The sequence below is a fragment of the Homo sapiens genome, chromosome 8 (assembly GCF_000001405.40).
Source record: "Homo sapiens chromosome 8, GRCh38.p14 Primary Assembly".
NCBI classification, from domain to species: Eukaryota; Metazoa; Chordata; class Mammalia; order Primates; family Hominidae; genus Homo; species Homo sapiens.
This window is the reverse complement of record NC_000008.11, coordinates 109,842,195-109,865,350: the sequence shown is the minus strand read 5'-3', so window position 1 is coordinate 109,865,350 and position 23,156 is coordinate 109,842,195. Positions and strand designations below refer to the sequence as shown.

Here is a 23,156-nt window from a genome sequence, read left to right as displayed (position 1 = left end):
GCCTTAGCACAGACAGTGTCAGACCCACTGGGGCAGTAGATGAAGCCATCAGTTAACTATGCTCTCTGCAGCTGGAGATCTGAGCAGTGACTTTTCATGACCACTACATCTGCAGTGCTACTTGATATGGTTTGGCTCTGTGTCCCCACTCAAATCTCATCTTGAATTATACTCCCATAAATCCCATGTGTTGTCGGAGGGACCCAGTGGGAGATAATTGGACCATGCGGGCGGTTTTTCCCATACTGTTCTCCTGGTAGTGAATAAGCCTCGTGAGATCTGGTGGTTTGTTAAGGGGAAACCTGTTTCACTTGGTTCTCATTCTCTCTCTTGCCTACTGCGATGTAAGACCCGCCTTTCACTTTCCACCATGACTGTGAGGCCTCCCCAGCCATGTGGAACTGTAAGTTCACTTAAACCCTTTTTCCTGTATAAATTACCCAGTCTCCGGTATGTCTTTATCAGCGGCATGAAAACAGACTAATATGCTACTCTGTTACAGTCTATAAAAATTTAAAATTCCTGGTGAAAAATAGATAACCAATTCTGTTTAACCAAACCCTTTTTTTAAATTTTATTATTATAATACTTTAAGTTTTAGGGTACATGTGCACAATGTGCAGGTTAGTTACATATGTATACATGTGCCATGCTGGTGTGCTGCACCCATTAACTCGTCATTTAGCATTAGGTATATCTCCTAATGCTATCCCTCCCCCCTCCCCCCACCCCACAACAGTCCCCAGAGTGTGATGTTCCCCTTCCTGGGTCCATGTGTTCTCATTGTTCAATTCCCACCTATGACTGAGAACATGTGGTGTTTGGTTTTTTGTCCTTGCGATAGTTTACTGAGAATGATGATTTCCAATTTCATCCATGTCCCTACAAAGGACATGAACTCATCCTTTTTTATGGCTGCATAGTATTCCGTGATATATATGTGCCACATTTTCTTAATCCAGTCTATCATTGTTGGACATTTGGGTTGGTTCCAAGTCTTTGCTATTGTGAATAGTGCCACAATAAACATATGTGTGCATGTGTCTTTAGAGCAGCATGATTTATAGTCCTTTGGGTATATACCAAGTAATGGGATGGCTGGGTCAAATGGTATTTCTAGTTCTAGATCCCTGAGGAATCGCCAAACTGACTTCCACAATGGTTGAACTAGTTTACAGTCCCACCAACAGTGTAAAAGTGTTCCTATTTCTCCACATCCTCTCCAGCACCTGTTGTTTCCTGACTTTTTAATGATTGCCATTCTAACTGGTGTGAGATGGTATCTCATTGTGGTTTTGATTTGCATTTCTCTGATGGCCAGCGATGATGAGCATTTTTTCATGTGTCTGTTGGCTGCATAAATGTCTTCTTTTGAGAAGTGTCTGTTCATATCCTATGCCCACTTTTTGATGGGATTGTTTGTTTTTTTCTCATAAATTTGTTGGAGTTCATTGTAGATTCTGGATATTAGCCCTTTGTCAGATGAGTAGGTTGCAAAAATTTTCTCCTATTTTGTAGGTTGCCGGTTCACTCTGATGGTAGTTTCCTTTGCTGTGCAGAAGCTCTTGAGTTTAATTAGATCCCATTTGTCAATTTTGGCTTTTGCTGCCATTGCTTTTGGTGTTTTAGACATGAAGTCCTTGCCCATGCCTATGTCCTGAATGGTAATGCCTAGGTTTCCTTCTAGGCTTTTTATGGTTTTAGGTCTAACGTTTAAGTCTTTAATCCATCTTGAATTAATTTTTGTATAAGGTGTAAGGAAGGGATCCAGTTTCAGCTTTCTACATATGGCTAGCCAGTGTTCCCAGCACCATTTACTAAATAGGGAATCCTTTCGCCATTGCTTGTTTTTCTCAGGTTTGTCAAAGATCAGATAGTTGTAGATATGTGGCGTTATTTCTGAGGGCTCTGTTCTGTTCCATTGATCTGTATCTCTGTTTTGGTACCAGTACCATGCTGTTTTGGTTACTGTAGCCTTGTAGTATAGTTTGAAGTCAGGTAGCGTGATGCCTCCAGCTTTGTTCTTTTGGCTTAGGATTGACTTGGCAATGCAGGCTCTTTTTTGGTTCCATATGAACTTTAAAGTAGTTATTTCCAATTCTGTGAAGAAAGTCATTGGTAGCTTGATGGGGATGGCATTGAATCTATAAATTACCTTGGGCAGTATGACCATTTTCACAATACTGATTCTTCCTACCCATGAGCATGGAATGTTCTTCCATTTCTTTGTATCCTCTTTTATTTCATTGAACAGTGGTTTGTAGTTCTCCTTGAAGAGGTCCTTCACATCCCTTGTAAGTTGGATTCCTAGGAATTTTATTCTCTTTGAAGCAATTGTGAATGGGAGTTCACTCACAATTTGGCTCTCTGTTTGTCTGTTACTGGTATATAAGAATGTTTGTGATTTTTGTACATTGATTTTGTATCCTGAGACTTTGCTGAAGTTGTTTATCAGCTTAAGGAGATTTTGGGCTGAGATGATGGGGTTTTCTAGATATACAATCATGTCATCTGCAAACAGGGACAATTTGACTTCCTCTTTTCCTAATTGAATACCCTTTATTTCCTTCTCCTGCCTAACTGCCCTGGCCAGAACTTCCAACACTATGTTGAATAGGAGTGGTGAGAGAGGGCATCCCTGTCTTGTGCCAGTTTTCAAAGGGAATGCTTCCAGTTTTTGCCCATTCAGTATGATATTGGCTGTGGGTTTGTCATAGATAGCTCTTATTATTTTGAGATACTTCCCATCAATACCTAATTTATTGAGAGTTTTTAGCACGAAGCGTTGTTGAATTTTGTCAAAGGCCTTTTCTGCATCTATTGAGATAATCATGTGGTTTTTGTCTTTGGTTCTGTTTATATGCTGGATTACATTTATTGATTTGCGTATATTGAACCAGCCTTGCATCCCAGGGATGAAGCCCACTTGATCATGGTGGATAAGCTTTTTGATGTGCTGCTGGATTCGGTTTGCCAGTATTTTATTGAGGGTTTTTGCATCAATGTTTATCAAGGATATTGGTCCAAAATTCTCTTTTTTGGTTGTGTCTCTGCCAGGCTTTGGTGTCAGGATGATGCTGGCCTCATAAAATGAGTTAGGGAGGATTCCCTCTTTTTCTATTGATTGGAATAGTTTCAGAAGGAATGGTACCAGTTCCTCTTTGTACCTCTGGTAGAATTCGGCTGTGATTCCATCTGGTCCTGGACTCTTTTTGGTTGATAAGCTATTGATTATTGCCACAATTTCAGAGCCTGTTATTGGTCTATTCAGAGATTCAACTTCTTCCTGGTTTAGTCTTGGGAGGGTGTATGTGTCGAGGAATTTATCCATTTCTTCTAGATTTTCTAGTTTATTTGCATAGAGGTGTTTAGAGTATTCTCTGACGGTAGTTTGTATTTCTGTGGGATCGGTGGTGATATCCCCTTTATCATTTTTTATTGCGTCAACTTGATTCTTCTCTCTTTTTTTCTTTATTAGTCTTGCTAGTGGTCAATCAATTTTGTTGATCCTTTCAAAAAACCAGCTCCTGGATTCATTAATTTTTTGAAGGGTTTTTTGTGTCTCTATTTCCTTCAGTTCTGCTCTGATTTTAGTTATTTCTTGGCTTCTGCTAGCTTTTGAATGTGTTTGCTCTTGCTTTTCTAGTTCTTTTAATTGTGATGTTAGGGTGTCAATTTTGGATCTTTCCTGCTTTCTCTTGTGGGCATTTAGTGCTATAAATTTCCCTGTAAACACTGCTTTGAATGTGTCCCAGAGATTCTGGTATGTTGTGTCTTTGTTCTCATTGGTTTCAAAGAACATCTTTATTTCTGCCTTCATTATGTTATGTACCCAGTAGTCATTCAGGAGCAGGTTGTTCAGTTTCCATGTAGTTGAGCAGTTTTGAGTGAGTTTCTTAATCCTGAGTTCTAGTTTGATTGCACTGTGGTCTGAGAGACAGTTTGTTATACTTTCTGTTCTTTTGCATTTGCTGAGGATTGCTTTACTTCCAACTATGTGGTCAATTTTTGAATAAGTGCGGTGTGGTGCTGAGAAGAATGTATATTCTGTTGATTTCGGGTGGAGAATTCTGTAGATGTCTATTAGGTCTTCTTGGTGCAGAGCTGATTTCAATTCCTGGATATCCTTGTTAACTTTCTGTCTCATTGATCTGTCTAATGTTGACAGTGGGGTGTTAAAGTCTCCCATTATTATTGTATGGGAGTCTAAGTCTCTTTGTAGGTCACTCAGGACTTGCTTTATGAATCTGGGTGCTCCTGTATTGGGTGCATATATATTTAGGATAGTTAGCTCTTCTTGTTGAATTGATCCCTTTACCATTACGTAATGGCCTTCTTTGTCTCTTTTGATCTTTGTTGGTTCAAAGTCTGTTTTATCAGAGACTAGGATTGCAATCCCTGCCTTTTTTCATTTTCCATTTGCTTGGTAGATCTTCCTCCATCCTTTTATTTTGAGCCTATGTGTGTCTCTGCACATGAGATGGGTTTCCTGAATATAGCACACTGATGGGTCTTGACTCTTTATCCAATTTGCCAGTCTGTGTCTTTTAATTGGAGCATTTAGTCCATTTACATTTAAAGTTAATATTGTTATGTGTGAATTTGATCCTGTCTCTATGATGTTAGCTGGTTATTTTGCTGATTAGTTGATGTAGTTTCTTCCTAGTCTCGATGGTCTTTACATTTTGGCATGATTTTGCAGTGGCTGGTCCCGGTTGTTCCTTTCCATGTTTAGTGCTTCCTTCAGGAGCTCTTGTAGGGCAGGCCTGGTGGTGACAGAATCCCTCAGCATTTGCTTGTCTGTAAAGTATTTTATTTCTCCTTCACTTATGAAGCTTAGTTTGGCTTGATATGAAATTCTGGGTTGAAAGTTCTTTTCTTTAAGAATGTTGAATATTGGCCCCCACTCTCTTCTGGCTTGTAGAGTTTCTGCCGAGAGATCCGCTGTTAGTCTGATGGGCTTCCTTTTGTGGGTAACCCGACCTTTCTCTCTGGCTGCCCTTAACATTTTTTCCTTCATTTCAACTTTGGTGAATCTGACAATTATGTGTCTTGGATTTGCTCTTCTCGAGGAGTATCTTTGTGGCGTTCTCTGTATTTCCTGAATCTGAATGTTGGCCTGCCTTGCTAGATTGGGGAAGTTCTCCTGGATCATATCCTGCAGAGTGTTTTCCATTCTCCCCGTCACTTTCAGGTACACCAATCAGACGTAGATTTGGTCTTTTCACATAGTCCCATATTTCTTGGAGGCTTTGTTCATTTCTTTTTATTCTTTTTTCTCTAAACTTCCCTTCTCGCTTCATTTCATTCATTTCATCTTCCATCATTGATACCCTTTCTTCCAGTTGATTGCGTCGGCTCCTGAGGCTTCTGCATTCTTCACGTAGTTCTCAAGCCTTGGCTTTCAGCTCCGTCAGCTCCTTTAAGCACTTCTCTGTATTGGTTATTCTAGTTATGCATTTGTCTAAATTTTTTTCAAAGTTTTTAACTTCTTTGCCCTTGGTTTGAATTTCCTACTGTAGCTCAGAGTAGTTTGATCGTCTGAAGGCTTCTTCTCTCAACTCGTCAAAGTCATTCTCCGTCCAGCTTTGTTCTGTTGCTGGTGAGGAACTGCATTCCTTTGGAGGAGGAGAGGCGCTCTGCTTTTTAGAGTTTCCAGTTTTTCTGCTCTGTTTTTTCCCCATCTTTGTGGTTTTATCTACTTTTTGTCTTTGATGATGGTGATGTACAGATGGGTTTTTGGTGTGGATGTCCTTTCTGTTTGTTAGTTTTCCTTCTAACAGACAGGGCCCTCAGCTGCAGGTCTGTTGGAGTTTGCTAGAGGTCCACTCCAGACCCTGTTTGCCTCGGTATCAGCAGCGGTGGCTGCAGAACAGCAGATTTTCATGAACTGCAAATGCTGCTGTCTGATCGTTCCTCTGGAAGTTTTGTCTCAAAGGAGTACCTGGCCGTGTGAGGTGTCAGTCCACCCCTACTGGGGGGTGCCTCCCAGTTAGGCTGCTCAGGGGTCAGGGGTCAGGGACCCACTTGAGGAGGCAGTCTGCCCATTCTCAGATCTCCAGCTGCGTGTGGGAGAACCACTGCTCTCTTCAAAGCTGTCAGACAGGGACATTTAAGTCTGCAGAGGTTACTGCTGTCTTTGTATTTGTCTGTGCCCTGCCCCCAGAAGTGGAGCCTACAGAGGCAGGCAGGCCTCCTTGAGCTGTGGTGGGCTCCACCCAGTTCGAGCTTCCCAGCTGCTTTGTTTACCTAAGCAAGCCTGGGCAATGGCGGGCGCCCCTCCCCCAGCCTTGCTGCCTCCTTGCAGTTTGATCTCAGACTGCTGTGCTAGCAGTCAGCGAGACTCCGTGGGTGTAGGATCCTCCGAGCCATGTGCGGGATATAATCTCCTGGTGTGCCGTTTTTTAAGCCCATTGGAAAAGCGCAATATTAGGGTGGGAGTGACCCGATTTTCCAGGTCCTGTCTGTCACCCCTTTCTTTGACTAGGAAAGGGAACTCCCTGACCCCTTGCACTTCCCGAGTGAGGCAATGCCTCGCCCTGCTTTGGCTCATGCATGGTGCGCTGCACCCACTGACCTGCGCCCACTGTCTGGCACTCCCTAGTGACATGAACCAGGTACCTCAGATGGAAATGCCGAAATCACCCGTCTTCTGCATCGCTAACCCTGGGAGCTGTAGACCGGAGCTGTTCCTATTCGGCCATCTTGGCTGCCACCACCAAACCCTTATTTTTAAGCAGAACTCTAGGTCATTAGACTCTTAAAACACAGGCCTACACCTCTCCTTTAAAAAGAAATTTCTGTATTTTATAGCTATAATTTTTCTTTTCTCTGAACATATTTTATCATGATTATGTTTTGAATTATAGAAGTTAACCATAGCTTAACTGTAAGGTAAGCGAATATTGCACATTATGACTCAGGATACTATTTTTTTAAAAAAAGCTCTCTGAAATAAAAGTGTAATTTATTGTATTAATTTTCTCATAATGGTAGAAGTCTGTAAGATCCACTGAGGGTTTTCTTTACATTGGTTCTCCACCAAACCCAGAACAGTGTTGGTCATTGAGCATTAATGTATTACTGCAAAACTGAATTACATTGAAATTTGTAGTTTAATTTTGAATGGATGTGTTACTAAACTTTCCTATAATCACAATACCTTTCAGTCTCAGGAGCAGCTTAAATCATACTTGAAAGACATATGATGCACTATTTATAACAGCTGTTGCTTTTCCTATTAATGAGTTTTGAATTGGTTTGCTTTTCTAGATTGACAACTTCCATTACAGCTCAGGATGTTGGGGATTTGAACACAAAAGCAACTCTGGTGGATAATTAGCATGCTATACTACCTCTGAGAAGAAGTTATATTTTTGATAAACACCTCTAAGTACAGATAGTATGTGCTTAGTACTTATTTTCTACTAAACATAAAATTAACACATGTCATGGGAAGCACCACTATTAAAGATTTTTGTTTTGTCAGATATCTTTTTTCAAGCATAACAGTTCTTTGTGACATTGAATGCTCATTTACTCACAATCAGAAAGGCTACTTTATTTTTAAAATCCAGTGACCAGAAATAGAGAAACTGCATCTTCTTTGTGGTTGACCCTTGGAGCAGTGGCACATGCAGAAACCACTGTCAGTGCCCTGGGAGACTACAATGTGCCTCCCCAGGGAATGAAGAATTTATTAGCTAAAGCCAATTAGAAAGCAGCCAATAGAGGAAGAATTCTCTCTATCCTCCCCCTTTTCTGCCTAAAGACAAGATATAAATTCTTTACTGAAGACAACTCTTATTAGTTCAGAGATGGCACCAGAGGAATCTACACACAAGTTTTACTCCATTCGTTTCTTCCCACAATTTCCCACCTTTGGAAGAGTAAAACTGTTTTCCTTTGGTCAGTCATTTTTCCACAAATGTATTGTTCTTTGTTAAATATGCTACATAAGCCAGAGCTGTAAGCCACTGCCGTGAGTTCCCATTCACTGAGGTTTTTCCTGTATGATGTGCGCTACATGCATTAATAAACTTGCTGTTTTTCTCTTGTTAATCTGTCTTTTGTTACTGGGATCTGTCTCAACTATGAACTTATGAGAGTTGAGGAGAAATTATATTCCCTCCCTGACAGTGACATTTCAGGTCCCTTTTGCTCATCTTGCAGTGGCTGCGTCGTCTACTAATGAATCACATCTGTTACTTTCTGTGGAGAATTTTCCTCAACCAGTGGGAGCCTTCTTACTTCCTGCCCTATAGGAAACCCAGAGAAAGTGACTTTTTGATGCAGGGGTGTAAAATTTCAGCCCTAATTCTTTAAAATGGGAGAAACTCTGTGATAAAATTGTTTCCCTGTCACTTCCTCAATAAATCACTTCCCTCTCAGACTCTGAATCTGGGAAACCTTACCTATCACAACCTATAATATTATAAATTTAACAATTCCATGGACTTTACATATGGACTATCCTTCCTTTTAAATAACATGGGAAATTTACCAGTAATAAGGTCCTAAAGAAAAAATATCAGATTATAGAAAAATTAGTGGAAAGATATGCAACTCCTGTAGGAAAATTCACCTACATGATGTAGCCAATAGGCCACTTGTGATCATGAGAATATAATGGTGATATTTCCTGGCACACAACTCCTCAAGCTCTTGGAATCTCCAAGTGATAAGTGTCTTTTTATATCCTGATGAGTTGTGAATAGGTTCCAAATGAAAGCTGGTTACCAGAAATACCAGGCATGATTACAGGATTAAATCTTTTAGCCCCATCCACAACCTCCAGGGAAGGGAGAGGGGCTGAAGGTTGAACTGATCACCAATGACCAATGATTTAATCAATCATGACTACATAATGAAGCTTCCATTAGAGGGCTTGCAGATAGCTAAATACCTGGAGGTTCCTAGAGGGAGGCATGTCCTGAGAGGACATGAAATTTCTGTGTCCCTTTCTACATACCTTGCCCTGTACATCTTTTCTATCTCATTTTTCCTCTGTATTCTTTGTAATATCCTTTACAATAAATGGTAAACACAGTTAAAATGTTTCCCAGAATTCTACTGGTCACATTAGCAAATTAATCAAAACCAAGGTAGGTGTCATGGGAACCCCCAGTTTATAGCTGGCTGGTCAATGTATAAGTGACTATTATTTGCAAACTGGTGACCTGAAGTGGGGGACAGTCCTGTGGAACTGAGCCCTCAACCTGTGGGATCTGACAGTATCTCAAGCATAAGCCAAAAAGTGTCTAAGATAGGTATCAGTTAATTTAGAAGTTTATTTTGCCAAGGTTAAGAATAATAACCCATGACACAGCCTGAGGAAGTCCCAAAAACATGTTCCCAAGGTGGCTGAGTTACAGTTTGATTTTATATATTTTAGGGAGACAGAAGACATCAATCGATACATGTGAGGTATACATTGGTTCAGTTTGGAAAGGCAGGACATCTCAAAGTGGGGGCTTCCAGGTTACAGGTGGAAGATCATGAGATTTTATGATTGGCAATTGGTTGAAAGAGTTACTATCTGAAGACCCAGAATCAATAGAAAGGAGTGTCTGAGTCAAGATAAGGCATTGTGAAGATCAAAGTTATTATTATACAGATGAAATCTCATAGGAAGGCGTCCATCCTTAGGGGCAATAGATGGCAAATTGTTTCCTTTTCAGAGCTTTAAAATGTGCGAGACTCCCAGCTAATCTTTTCAGGATCAGAAAAAGACCTGGAAAGGGAGGGGGATTCTCTATAGAATGTAATTTTTCCCCACAAGAGACAGCTTTGCAGAGCCATTTCAAAATATTTCAAAGAAATATATTGGGGTAAAATACTTTATTTTGATTACTTTCAGAGCCCCCATATGTCATGTGATGCTATACTAGATCCAGGTTGGAATGTGGTATCTTATTGCTACAAAGAGCCTATTTTGTCAGTCTTCAGATCTCTGTTTTAATGTTAATGGTGGTCAATTTTATGCCTGAACTCCAAAGAGAGGAGGGTATAATGAGGTATGTTTGACTCCCCCTTCCCATCATGACCTGAATTCCTTTTTCAGGTGTCTTTGGTATCCCCTTGGCCATGAGATGTGGTCTATTTAGTCAGTCAGGGGGCTTAGAATTTTATTTTTGGTTTACACCAGGTAGGAAGTGTCATAATTGAATTAAATTAGAAGACAGCCAGCTGGTGTCTGCTGCAGAATTGCTTAGTTGGTGCGTAAGGTAAAGCTCCCACACATTTGGTGTCAGAAGTGTTGGGTTGACAGTATGAGTGAGTGTAGGGGGAAAAGTCTCTTTATTTTTTTCCTATCTCTCAGACTACTGATCCTAAAATCTAGAAAGACAAAAATAAATAAAATATTAACATTTTCATTTTCTCTCCACCTGTGAAGTGAAGATTTTAATAAAGACCCACATACTCTGGGATAGAAGTCATCTCATCTCCAGTACTAAGCAAACAACTTTCTGTATGCATAAGCAAATGGGGGGGAAAGAAAAACACCAGAATTTGCACTCGATTGTTTAAATAAAGACAACACTGAAGAGTAAAAGTAATTTTCTCTTACAAAATAAGGTTGCAAGAATAAGAGACAACTTTTCAAACCTCCAACTCATCAAAGGAGATGAGACGCACTGAAATGAGTAAATCATGAACTAAGCATTCCAAGATCAGGAAAGACCTTTTCAAAATGAAAAACATGATTGCTAATTTCAAAACTAAATTGATATTTCCTCAGTCCAATAATAAGAAATGTATTAATTATGTCTTCCATATGTTTGATATTTCAGTACTTTGGAGACTTGCTGACACTAGAGAAACTGTGCCTCCTAGGGAAAGCCAACTCCTAGAGATAAGTAAATGATTAAAATGCTGGCATGCCTTTTGTATTAGTCCATTCTCTCATTGCTATTAAGAAATATTTGAGACTGAGTAATTTATAAAGAAAATAGGTTTAATTGGTTCTCAGTTCTGCAGAATGCACAGGAAACAGAGCAGCTTCTGCTTCTGGGGAGGCCTTATGAAGCTTAAAATCATGGCAGAAGGCAAAGGGGAGCAGGCATCTTACATGGCAGGAGCAGGAGCAAGAGAAAGAGGGGAGAGGTGTTACACACTTTTAAGCAACCAGATCTCACTAGAACTCACTCACTGTCATGAGGACAGTACCAAGAGGGATGGTGCTAAACTATTCATGAGAAACCCACCCCCATGATCCAATTACCTCCCACCAAGCTCTTTCTCCAACATAGGGAATTACAATTCAACATGAGATTTGGGTGAGGACACATATCCAAACTTTATTACCTTTCTTTTCCCAACTAACCAATCCAGAGGTCATTCCTCAACTACTTCATGTACCATATTCTCACACTCTAAGCCACTACTTACCTACTCAAATCACCCTAGGGTCAGGTACCAGACAACTAGGGAGACACTGTATACCCTGGAGCCAACTGAAATTATTCAAACTATTCGATTCTAAACCTGCTCACCCTGCCTCACTTGTTCCTTCCTATAGAAGATACAATACACGCTCTTCTCCACATGTTCCCCACTCGCCCTGCCTCCAGACCAACTCTGGTGCTCTCTGTGTGGCCCTGCATGGCATGCCATGCCTCCTGTTTCTAAGGATCTAGTAATAAACATCTTTCTTCATAACAGTCATTTCCAAGTCTGCATGTCTTACCATATGTGATTAAAACAAATCCCTGGTACCCTTAACACAATAAAACATCAGAGAAACAAATTAAGGGATGTTCTGTGAAATACCATTCTATAAAGTACTCATCAAAACTGTCAAAGTCATGACAGACAAGTAATAACCAAGAAACTGTCACAGATTGGAGGTGCCTAAGGAATCACAGCAGCTAAATGTAATGCCAAATCTTGATTTGGGCCTTGCCTTAGGACAGAAAAAGGACAGTGGAAGAACTGGAGAACCCAAATTAAAGGAATGGCTCAGTTAATAGTATTTTACCAATGCTAACTTCTTAGTGTTGTTAAATGTCCTATGGTTAAGTAAGCTGTTAACATTAGTGGAAACTGAGGGAAAACTATACAGGAACTCTCTGGTGCCATCTCTGCAAGCCTTTTGTAATCTAAAAACATTTCAAAATAAAACTACTAAGAAAAAATAAAATAAATAAAACTAAGTTAAGTCAATGAATAAGATCTTGGATGCAGTAGAAAATGAAATCACCGGCAGAAAGATAAGCCTGAATGATTCACTCAAAGGTCAAAAGAAAAGTATGCAATATTAAAATAAGAGAAAAGCAAAGAGTATAAAAGACAGGACAAGAAGAGATAAAGAATGTAAAATATTAATTACGAAAAGCTAGGTATGAGAGAGAAAATGGAAATTACATTAGAAATTCTTGAATTTCAAATAGTACATGTTATTATAAAACTAATAAAAATAATCTTTCTTTTATTAAGAAAGATTCATGATGAACATTTTAATTCCAAGATCAAGAAAAATCTTTGCATTAAGGCAGAAAAAATACAAGTAACTTATAAAGTAACAAAAGTCTTACTAACCTCAGATTTCCAAACTGCAGCACTAAATGCTAATGACCAGTAATTCCAAATACATAGGTTCATGTAACATGAATTCCACATTCAATTAAATGAGCTATGTAAAGGTAACAGAGAAATATTTACACATATTTAAAATGAGAAAGACTTCATAAAGCTTTCTGGGGGTGGGAAACTAAACGAAGTTACAACCTATTCAAGAAATAAATCAAAATAAGAATGTAAGAATGGGAAAGACAAGATGTAAAAAACAGTAATAAACAATAAAAGGGGTTAAACTTGGAATTTAAATCAAACTAAATGTTATATTTATGTATTTGAAGTTAGAGCAGATGCTAAATTATTTTTGTTTTGTTGATACTTCTATGACAGTCTTTATTTTGTTGCTTCAATATTGAATGCGTAAGTTATTACTGTTTTAAATTATAATTTTCATTGTTACAATACCTTAGCTTTATTTTGGGCAGTATCTAAAATTCAGTCTTTGATTTTTTTAATGAGGAAAATATGGATTATGCAATGATTGCTTTTAGAGTAACTATTCAATCATTTGGAAAATATAAAATAAAGTTAAATCCATTCTTTATAATCACACAAAAATAAATTTCAGAGAGATTTGTTTTAAAATTTTAACAAATGAAACAAATAGATTGAACTATAGTTGAATATTTATACTTTCTTAAAGGTAGAGGTTTTGTTCTGAATGTGGTAGAGTGGGAAGAACACTGGCTTTTACTCTAAAGAGCAATTGAAATTTTGCCTATTCTGAAATGTAAAGTTGAAAAACTAAATAGGGTTCTTGTAGAACTCACAAGTAGAAGGACCAATGGAAAACACCTTAGACTTCGAAGTTAAACCCCAAAGGATTCTATCCTAGGAGTAAGGAAACATCACAGACTTTACCAGACTGTAAGGGGCACAAGCCCAATATCATCATCTCAATCCATGACAAGACAAAGGTGATCTGAGATTGCTAGAACACCCGCCCCCGCCCCCCATAGCTGACTACCGAAAGCAAAAGCAAATCCTCTTCGGAAGAAAGAAAAATATCTAGAATCTCAAATGATTAACTACAATTTTTAACAAGCCATCTGTAGCACCCAATCAAAATAACTATGTCATACAAAGGTAAGAATTGACTAAAACCCAAGAAAAAATAGAAGATAGAATCACACCTAGAAAATATCCAAATAATGGAGCTACCAGATGTAAAACTTGTATTTCATGATTAATGGTATCAATGGATTGCAAGACAAATGGAAAGTTGTGGCAAAATTTGAAACTATAGAAAATCATATGGAAATTCTATAATTTAAAAATATAATCACTAAAATTTAAAAGTAATTAGATGATTTTAATACCAGGTTACATAATATTAAAGAAAGTTCAGAAAAAATATTCATAATTAAGAAAAAACTAATGTTTAGAAGATTTGAAGAGTGGGCCGGGTGCAGTGGCTCACACCTGTAATCCCAGCACATTGGGAGGTGGAGGCAGGTGGATCACTTGAGGTCAGGAGTTCAAGACCAGCCTGGCCAACATGGTGAAACCCTGTCTGTACTAAAAATACAAAAATTAGCCAGGCATGGTGGCACCCGCCAGTAATCTCACTACTCAAGAAGCTGAGGCAGGAGAATTGCTTGAACTTGGGAGGCAGAGGTTGCAGTGAGCCAATCTTGTGCCACTGCACTCCAGCCTGAGTGACAGAGCAAGACCCTGTCTCAAAAAATAAAAAAAAATTTGTAGAGTATAAGAGACCTGCAATATAATAAAAGGGCCCATGCTCCTATAATTGGACATCCAGATGTGTAGATAAAAGAGAGACTGGTCACAGATTCTGAAAACAATATGAACTCCTTAAAAAAAAAAAAAAGGAAAAGAAAGAAAAACCACCTCAAGGTACATCACAATAAGCTAACACATTTTTAAAATTAAGTCATTCTTAAAAGAAGTTCAAGAAAAAATACAAATGCCCTTCAAAGATTCACAATAAGACTCCCAATGGATTTCTCAAAAGGAAACAAAAAGAAAATGGAATGTCACCAAAGAGTTAAATAAAAATTACTTTCCAACATTACATCCAGTGAAAATATTCATAAACAAAAAAGACAAAATGGGACATCTTCACATAAACAAAAAATCTGAAAGAAATTTTTACCATCCATCAGTTTTACTCTACAGGAAATTTAAAAGATACCTTTGTAGAAGAGGGAAATTATCCCAGAGGAAAATCTCAGAGATGTAAGAAAAAAATGAAGAGCAATGTATAGAGCAAGTATAGTTTCCTACATAATATTGACTGTATAAAAATAATAATAATGTCTTGTAATTTAAAATTACATTAAAGAATGTACATATATCTCAGTACCTGGGCTGAAACTAAATGCTGTAAATATCCATATCAATAAATTATTTTAGAAAACCAGGAAGGTAAACCCAAAGATATTATGAGAAAAGAAATGATAAACATAACATAAAGAAATTAAATAGAAATGAACAAAGAATAAATAGGAGCAACAAATCCAAAACTGGATTCTTTGAAAATAGTAATAAAATTTAAAAATTCCTTGCAAGACTGAGCAATAAAAAAAGAGAAAGAGAAGTCATAAATAACCAATATTAGGAATGCAAACAGGTGCATCATTATACATCACATGTACATTACAAAGATAATAGAAAAATATTATAGAAATAGAAAATTATTCTAATAATTATTCATATGTTAAAAATAAAACACCTAACTCATATAAGATGATATAGATTACCCAAATAATCTTATGTTCATTATAAAAATCCATAATATAAAATTTACCAATAAATATAATTCCAAGCCCATATGCCTTCACCAATAAATCTTCCAAAACTTGTGGAAATATAATACTAGCATTACACAAATAACTCCATAGAGTTGAAAAAAGGAGATCTTGTACTAAATTATTTTATGAGACCAGGAAAAACTTAATAACAAAACCTGGCAAACATGGTAAGAAAGAAAAAAATTACAGACCAATCTGATATATAAACATAATATAAAGTTACAAGTAAAATGTTACAAATCTAAATCCAGTACTATTTATATTCCAATCAGGCTAGATTTTTGTCTAAAATGCAAGTTTACTTTTAATATTTTAAAACAATGCAAATTACCACATTATCAGAATAATGAAGATATATCATGTGATCATCTCAATTAATGCAGAAAATGCAATTGATAAACACTCATTCATGATGAAAACTATAAGCGAATTTGAAATAGAAACTTTATCTGATAAAAGATATTTACAAGATAAATTTAAAGTCTATGATAAAAGCTATCCATAACAATCAATCTCTGATAAAGGGTATTTACTCCCAAATTATGCTTAATGTGAAAATGTTGAGATCTTTTCCTCTGAGATCAAAAACAATGCAAGAATGCTCACTATTGAAGGGAGTTTCAAAATGGCTGACTAGAGGCTCCTGGCATTCCCCTTCTCCACAAAAACAAAACAAAACAAAAAAAGACCAACACAGAGAGGAGATAACGTGTTAAATAGACCTTCTAAGAGAGAATACTAAAATTCACCGGTAAGTGACAGAAGAGCTCTGAGGCATGAGAGGAGGAAAGTGAAGCATCCAGCCCAACAGTATTGGCTCTGAGCCTGAAGGAACTCCCCGTTGCAAGAAAAAGGTAAGTGAGAGATTCCCCAGCAGTCCACAACCCCTCCACATAGTGTACTCTTGCAATCCTAGGCATGAGAGAGCCCTCAGCCCTCACAGGCTCTGAGACTAGTACACAGAGCTACTGGAGTAGAGAAAGTGACATTGCTCCAAAGAAGGAGTTCACACAAAGTCCCACACACACACTCTGAACAAGCAGCTACAACACAGCAACATTTTAAGAACGCAGCCCCCACTAAACTACATCCTGTGTTGGGGCTCAAGAGCCACTGCATCTCCACATCACTGCTAATATACCCCCACATCCACCCAGAGGGCTGCAGCATCACTACACCAGCTGAACTCAACAGAGCGGCCAGGTTCCTAGTACTCTCGCCCATGAGGGTTTTACATCCCAGGGAGTGCACCAGGGAGGCTGCCTCTAGGAAAAAGGGAGCCAAAGTGTGAATTACCTAGAGCCAGAAAGGCACCTGCCCAGGGCTGCTGCTACTGACAACAACCCCACCCTCTCCAGTCAGGGCCACTATGTACCAGCACACACCTTCAAGGGACCTGGGCATGAGCCTACATGGGTGCCATATTCATAACTGAGGACAGGGCCGTCACCACCCGTCATCACCAACACTGACACCTGAACACACTATCTGAGGATCTGGGAACCAATCTCCCTCAGCCACTGCCACTGGTGGGAGTGTCCCCATTGAGGAACCTGAGGACAGGTCTGACCTTTCTGCCACTGCCACTGCCACCACCCACAAATGTTATCCAGGAGCCTGGGGACTGATCCACCCTGCCACTACTGGTGCACATGCACACTGTCCAGGGGCATGATGACAGGGTCACTCCACCTGCTGCCAGTGCCTGTGTACACCTGCCAAGGGCCTAGAGATCAGTCTGCCCAGCCTGCTGCCATTGCCACTGGTGCCCACACTCACTGCTCAAGGACCCAACAATTGACCTGTCAACACTACTCTTACCGGTGGTGCAACATGCACAAACACAAGATACAAGAGAACACAAATAAACAATACAAATAAATCAGAAAAACAATTCATGATCTGAGTGAGAAATTCAACAGAGATAAATAATCATTTAAAAAAGAGACAATTTGGAACTATTGAATTTAATGAATGAAATAAAATATATAATCAAGAGCTTCAACAATATACTAGATCAAGCAGAAGAATGGATTTCTGAACATGAAGACAGGTTTTTTGACATAACCCAGTAAGATAAAAAAAAAAAAAAGTAAAAGAATGAAGAAAGCCTATGTAACTAACTAGAACTAGGAAAGCAAGAACAAATCAAACCCAAAATTAGTAGAAGAAAATAAATAATAAAAAATTAGAGCAAAACTAAACAGAGAATAAAAAGTACAAAGGACCAAGATGAAAAGTATGTTTTTGAAAAGATAAACAAAATCAATAAGCCTCTAGCTCAACTAACCAAGGAAAAAAGAGAGAAGACTCAAATTAATAAAACCAGAAGTGAAAAAGAACACATTGCAACAGATACCACAGAAACACAAAGAATCATTTGAGACAATTATGAATAAATATATGCTAACAAATTAGAAAACCTAGATAAAATGGGTATATTAGTGGATGCATACAACCTACCAAGATAGAAAACCTGAACAGACCAATAATTAGTAAAAAAATTGAATCAGTAACAAAAAGCCTCCTAACAAAGAAAAGCCCAGGACCAGATGGCTTTACTGCTGAATTCTACCAAAATTGTGAAGAAAAACTAAAACCAATTTTCTCGTACTGTTCCAAAATAATGAAGATAAAGGAATTCTTCTTAACTCATTCTGTGAGGCCAACATTATCCTGGTACCAAAACCAGACAGGAACACAACTAAAAAAGGAAACTAGAGGCCAAAATCCCTGTAAATATGTGTAAAAATTCTCAAAAAAAAAATACCAGCAAACTGAAATCAACAACACGTCAAAAAGATAATACACCATGATCAAGTGGGGTTTATCCCAGGGATGCAAGGATGGTCCAACATATGCAAATCAATTAATGAGATACATCGTATCAACAGAATGAAGGACAAAAACCATGTGATTATCCCAACAGACACAGAAAAGGCATTTGATAAAATTCAACCTCCCTTCATAATAAAACTCTCAACAAATTAGGCATAGGAGGAACATATTTCAATGTAATAAATGCCATATATGACAAACCCACAGCTAGTATCATACTGAATGAGGAAAAGCTGAAAGATTTTTTTCCTCTAAGAACTGGAACAAGACAAGAATGCCCACTTTTATTACTCTCATTCAGCTTAGTATTGGAAGTCCCAGACAGAGTAATCAGGCAAGAGGAAAAAATAAGGCATTCAAACAGGAAAAAAGGAAGTCAAATTGTTTCTCTTTGCAGCTGACATGATGTTTTATATTGGAAACCTATAGACTCCAATATATGAATGTTATATATTGAAAAACCTAGATTCCACCAAAAAATTCTTAGAAGTAATAAATAAAATCAAAAAAGATGCATGATAGAAGATCCACATACAAAAATCAGTAACATTTTTATATAGAAACAACAAGCTTTGTAAGAAAGAGATCAAGAAAGCAGTCTCATTTACAATAGCCACAAAATAATAATACTACCTAGGAATAAGTTTAACCAAAGAAGTAAAAGACTTCTACAACAAAAACTACAAAACACTGATGAAAGAAATTGAAAGGAGACAAATGAATGGAAAGTCACTCATGCTCATGAACTGGAAGAATTAATATTGTTAAAATGACCATACTACCTAAAGCAATCTACATATTCAATGCAATCCCTATCAAAATTCCAACATTCTTCACAGAAATAGGAAAAGCAATTCTGAAATTCATATGAAATTACAAAAGACTATAAATAAAGCAATCCTAAGCATAAAGAAAAAAACTGGAGGTTTTGTACTGTTTGACTTCAAAATTTACTACAAAGCTTTCGTAGTCAAAACAGCATGATATTGCTATAAAATAGATACATAGATCAATGGAGCAGAGTAGAGAACCCAGAAATAAATCCACATATTTACAGCTAACTGATGTTTACCAAAGGTGCCAAGAACATACATTGGGGAAAGGAAAACCTCTTCAATAACTAGTGCTGAGAAAATTGAATATCCATATGCAGAAGAATAAGACCAGGCCCCTATATCTCACTATATACAAAAACCAATTAATTGGATTGAAGATTTAAACATAAGACCTATAATTATAAACTACCAGAAGAAAATCTAGAAGATATGTTTCAGGACAACGGTATAGGCAAAGAATTTGTGGCTAAGACTTCAAAAGCGCAGGCAACAAAAACAAAAATAGGCAAATAAAACTGTATTAAACTAAAAAGCTTCTGCACAGCAAAGGAAACAATATAGTAAAGAAACAATTTGTAGAATGGGAGAAAATATTTGCAAACTATTAATCTGACAAGAGACTAACATAAAGAATATATAAGCAACTCAAACATCTCAACAGAAAAAAAAAACTTATTAAAAAGTGAGCCAAGGATCTGAATAGACATTTCTCAAAAGAAGACATACAAATGGCCAACAGGTATATGAAAAAATGCTCAATATCACTAATCATCAGTAAAATGCAAATTAAAATCCCAATGAGATGTCATCTCAAATGTCTTAAGATGGCTATTAACAAAAAGACAAAAAAAAGTGTTGATGAGGATGTGCAGAAAAGGGAACCCTTGTACACTGTTGGTGGATGTATAAAGTAGTACAACCATTATGAAAAAAAGTATGGAGGTTTCTCAAAAACCTAAAAGTAGAACTACCTCTGATCCAGCAGTCCCACTACTGGGTATTTATCCAAAGAAAAGGAAATCAGTGTATCAGAGAAGTACCTGTACCTTCATGTTTATTGCAGCAGTATTCACAAAAGCCTAGATATGCAATCAACCTAAGTGTCCATCAAAAGATGAATCGGATACTATTCAGCCATAAAAAGAATGAAATTCTGTCATTTGCAGCGACATGGATGAAACTGGAGGTCATTATGTTTAGCGAAATAAGCCAGGCACAGAAAAGCAGATATTACGTGAACACACTCATATGTGGGAGCTAAAAAAGTGGGTATCATTGAGCTAAAGAGTAGAATGATCATTACTAGAGGCAAGGAAGGGGGAGTGGAGATGAAGAGAGGTTGGTTAATGGGTACAAACATACATTATATAGAAGGAATAAGTTCTAGTGTTTGGTGGCACAGTAGGGTGTCAATAGTTAAAAATGATAATATATTTTATATTTCAAAATAGCTAGAAAGGAAAATATGAAATATTTTCAACACAAAGAAATGATATATGTTTCAGGTGATGAATATCCTAAATACTCTGATTTGACCAAAACATGTTATATGCATATATCAAAATATCACACAGCCCCCATAAATATGCACAATTATTTTTTATCAATAAAAATGCTCACTGTCAACACTTCTATTTATTTGTTATACTTGAGGTCCTAGTGCACTAATGTCAGAAAAATAAACCTAAAAATCTCTACAAATAAGTTATTGCAATTAGTAAGTAAACAATTGAAACACATTTTTAAAAGACAGCGCTTGTAATTACATTAAGAAGTCAAGTATCTAAGAATAAACCTAATTTAATATCTGCAAGACCTCTAAACAAAAAATAACACATCACTGAAAAAAAACTAAAGAGACCTAAATAAATGGAAGACTATACCATATGTTAGAAGATTCAATAAAGATATCAATTTACCCCAAAACGTTCATATATTTAATGCAATTCCAATCAAAATCCAGCATCAATTTTTGTGAAAACTTTCAAATTTTCTGTAAAATAAATACAGATATACAATGAGTCAAAAATAGCTATGAACCTCTTACTGAAGACAAACCTGAAAGATTTCCTCTCTCAGATATCAAAACTTGTTTAAAAGCTACAGTAATTATAATAGTGTGGTTTTGATGCAAGGATGGACTAGTAGACAATGAAATATAATAGAGAGCCCAGAAATAGACATACTTGCTTTTAGCCATATGATTCACAACAAAGGTGCCACTACAATTCAGTAGGGAAAGGATGTATTCTAAATAAAGGTTACTGGGCCAATTAGATATCTATATAGGGGGGAAAAGCATAAACCTTGAACCCTACCTTATAACGTACACTAAAATCAGTTCCAGGTGGATTGTAGATATAAATGTGAAAAAGTAAAAATAAAGTTTCTAAGTCATCATTATCTAATAGAAATATGATGCAACCCACATAATGCAATTCTCAGATCTATGCATAAAAAGATAAAAAGAAACTGAATTAAATTTTAGTAATATATTTCATAGATTATATATTTAATATATTTATTTGTTAATAATTAAATTATTATATTAATTAATTATTACTTGATTATGTTATAATTATTGTTAATATAATAATTGTGATATTAATATATTTAATATATTAAATAATATATTTAACACATCAAATATGTTATTTCTATACGTAGTCAATGTTAAAATGTTAATAAAATATTTTATATTTGTTATTCATATTGTCTTTGAAATGTATATTTTATAATTATAGTGCATCTCAATTTGGATTAAACACATTTCAAGTATTCAACAACCCTTGTGACTAGTGACTACCATATTGGATAGCACAACACAATGCAACCTAGAAAAATATCATGGTGGCCTTAGAGTGGGGAGAAGATTCTCAAATAAGCTCCAGAATAATCAATCATGAAAGATAAATAAATTGCATTTAAATTATTTAAATTTTGGTAAATGAAATTAAGCACAAAAGTGTGAAAAGGCAAACTGTGGGATGGGTGAAGATATTTGCAACACTTATAACCAATTAAATGTTCCCCAGATTGTATAGGAAATCCTATAAATCAAAAGAAAAATAAAAAAATCAGATCACTTGATATAAAAGAAAAAAATAGGCCAGGCGCGGTGGTTTACGCCTGTAATCCCAGCACTTTGGGAGGCCGAGGCAGGCAGATCACCTGAGGTTGGGAGTTCAAGACCAGCCTGACCAACATGGAGAAACCCCGTCTCTACTAAAAATACAAAATTAGCCGGGCGTGGAGGCGCATGTCTGTAATCCCAGATATTGGGGAGGCTGAGGCAAGGGAATCGCTTGAACCCAGGAGGCAGAGGTTGCAGTGAGCCAAGATTACGCCCCTACACTCCAGCCCAGTAACAGCGCAAGACTCCCTCTCAAAAAAATAATAATAATCATAATCATAATCACAAAATAATTAAAAAAAGAAAAAAAGAAGAGATTTAAGAGAGATGTATTAGTCAGCTAGCTGACATGAGAAAATACCTCAGACTACATGGTTTATACAACAGAAATCAATTTCCTCACAATTCTGTGGCTGGGAAGCCCAAGATGAAGGCGTTGGCCAATTTGGTTTCTCGTAAGGGCTTTCTTCCTGGCTTTCAGATGGCCTCTTCCCTGTGTCCTTACATAACAGAGAAAGAGATCCCTCTACACTTCTTGTAAGGACACTAATCCTATTGTTTCAGGGCCCCTCCTTTAGGACCTCATTCACCCTTAACTGCCTTCATACCCAATCTCCAAATTCAGTCACACTAGGGGTTGGGGCTTCAAAAGATGAACTTTAGGGAGACGCAAACATTCAGTTCATAATAAAACACTTCACAAAAGAGAATATCCAAATGATAAATATGAATATAAAATATGAAAATGTGTTCAATATCATTTATCTTCAAAGTAATATAAATTAAAACACAGTAAATACCGGAGTATACCTAGAAGAATGACTAAAATGAAAAGACAACAAGAAACATTGACAAAGATATGCAACAACTAGAATTCTCATACACATTTCATGGCAGTTTAAATTGTTTCAGCCACTTTGAAAAATAGTTTATCACCTGCTAAAGTTGAATATATATGTATACTCTGACAAAGAAATTTCACAATCATGTTTACCA

The 23,156-nt window shown here is 37.0% G+C and overlaps 2 annotated features.

The window, feature by feature from the left end:
• Positions 5,819-6,319: an enhancer, noted in NCBI's record as "H3K4me1 hESC enhancer chr8:110871261-110871761 (GRCh37/hg19 assembly coordinates)". NCBI's record gives its function as "activates a minimal SCP1, AML or CMV promoter by ChIP-STARR-seq in naive H9 embryonic stem cells {active_cell/tissue: H9 hESC(naive)}" and the evidence as "EXISTENCE:reporter gene assay evidence [ECO:0000049][PMID:30033119]".
• Positions 6,320-6,820: an enhancer, noted in NCBI's record as "H3K4me1 hESC enhancer chr8:110870760-110871260 (GRCh37/hg19 assembly coordinates)". NCBI's record gives its function as "activates a minimal SCP1, AML or CMV promoter by ChIP-STARR-seq in naive H9 embryonic stem cells {active_cell/tissue: H9 hESC(naive)}" and the evidence as "EXISTENCE:reporter gene assay evidence [ECO:0000049][PMID:30033119]".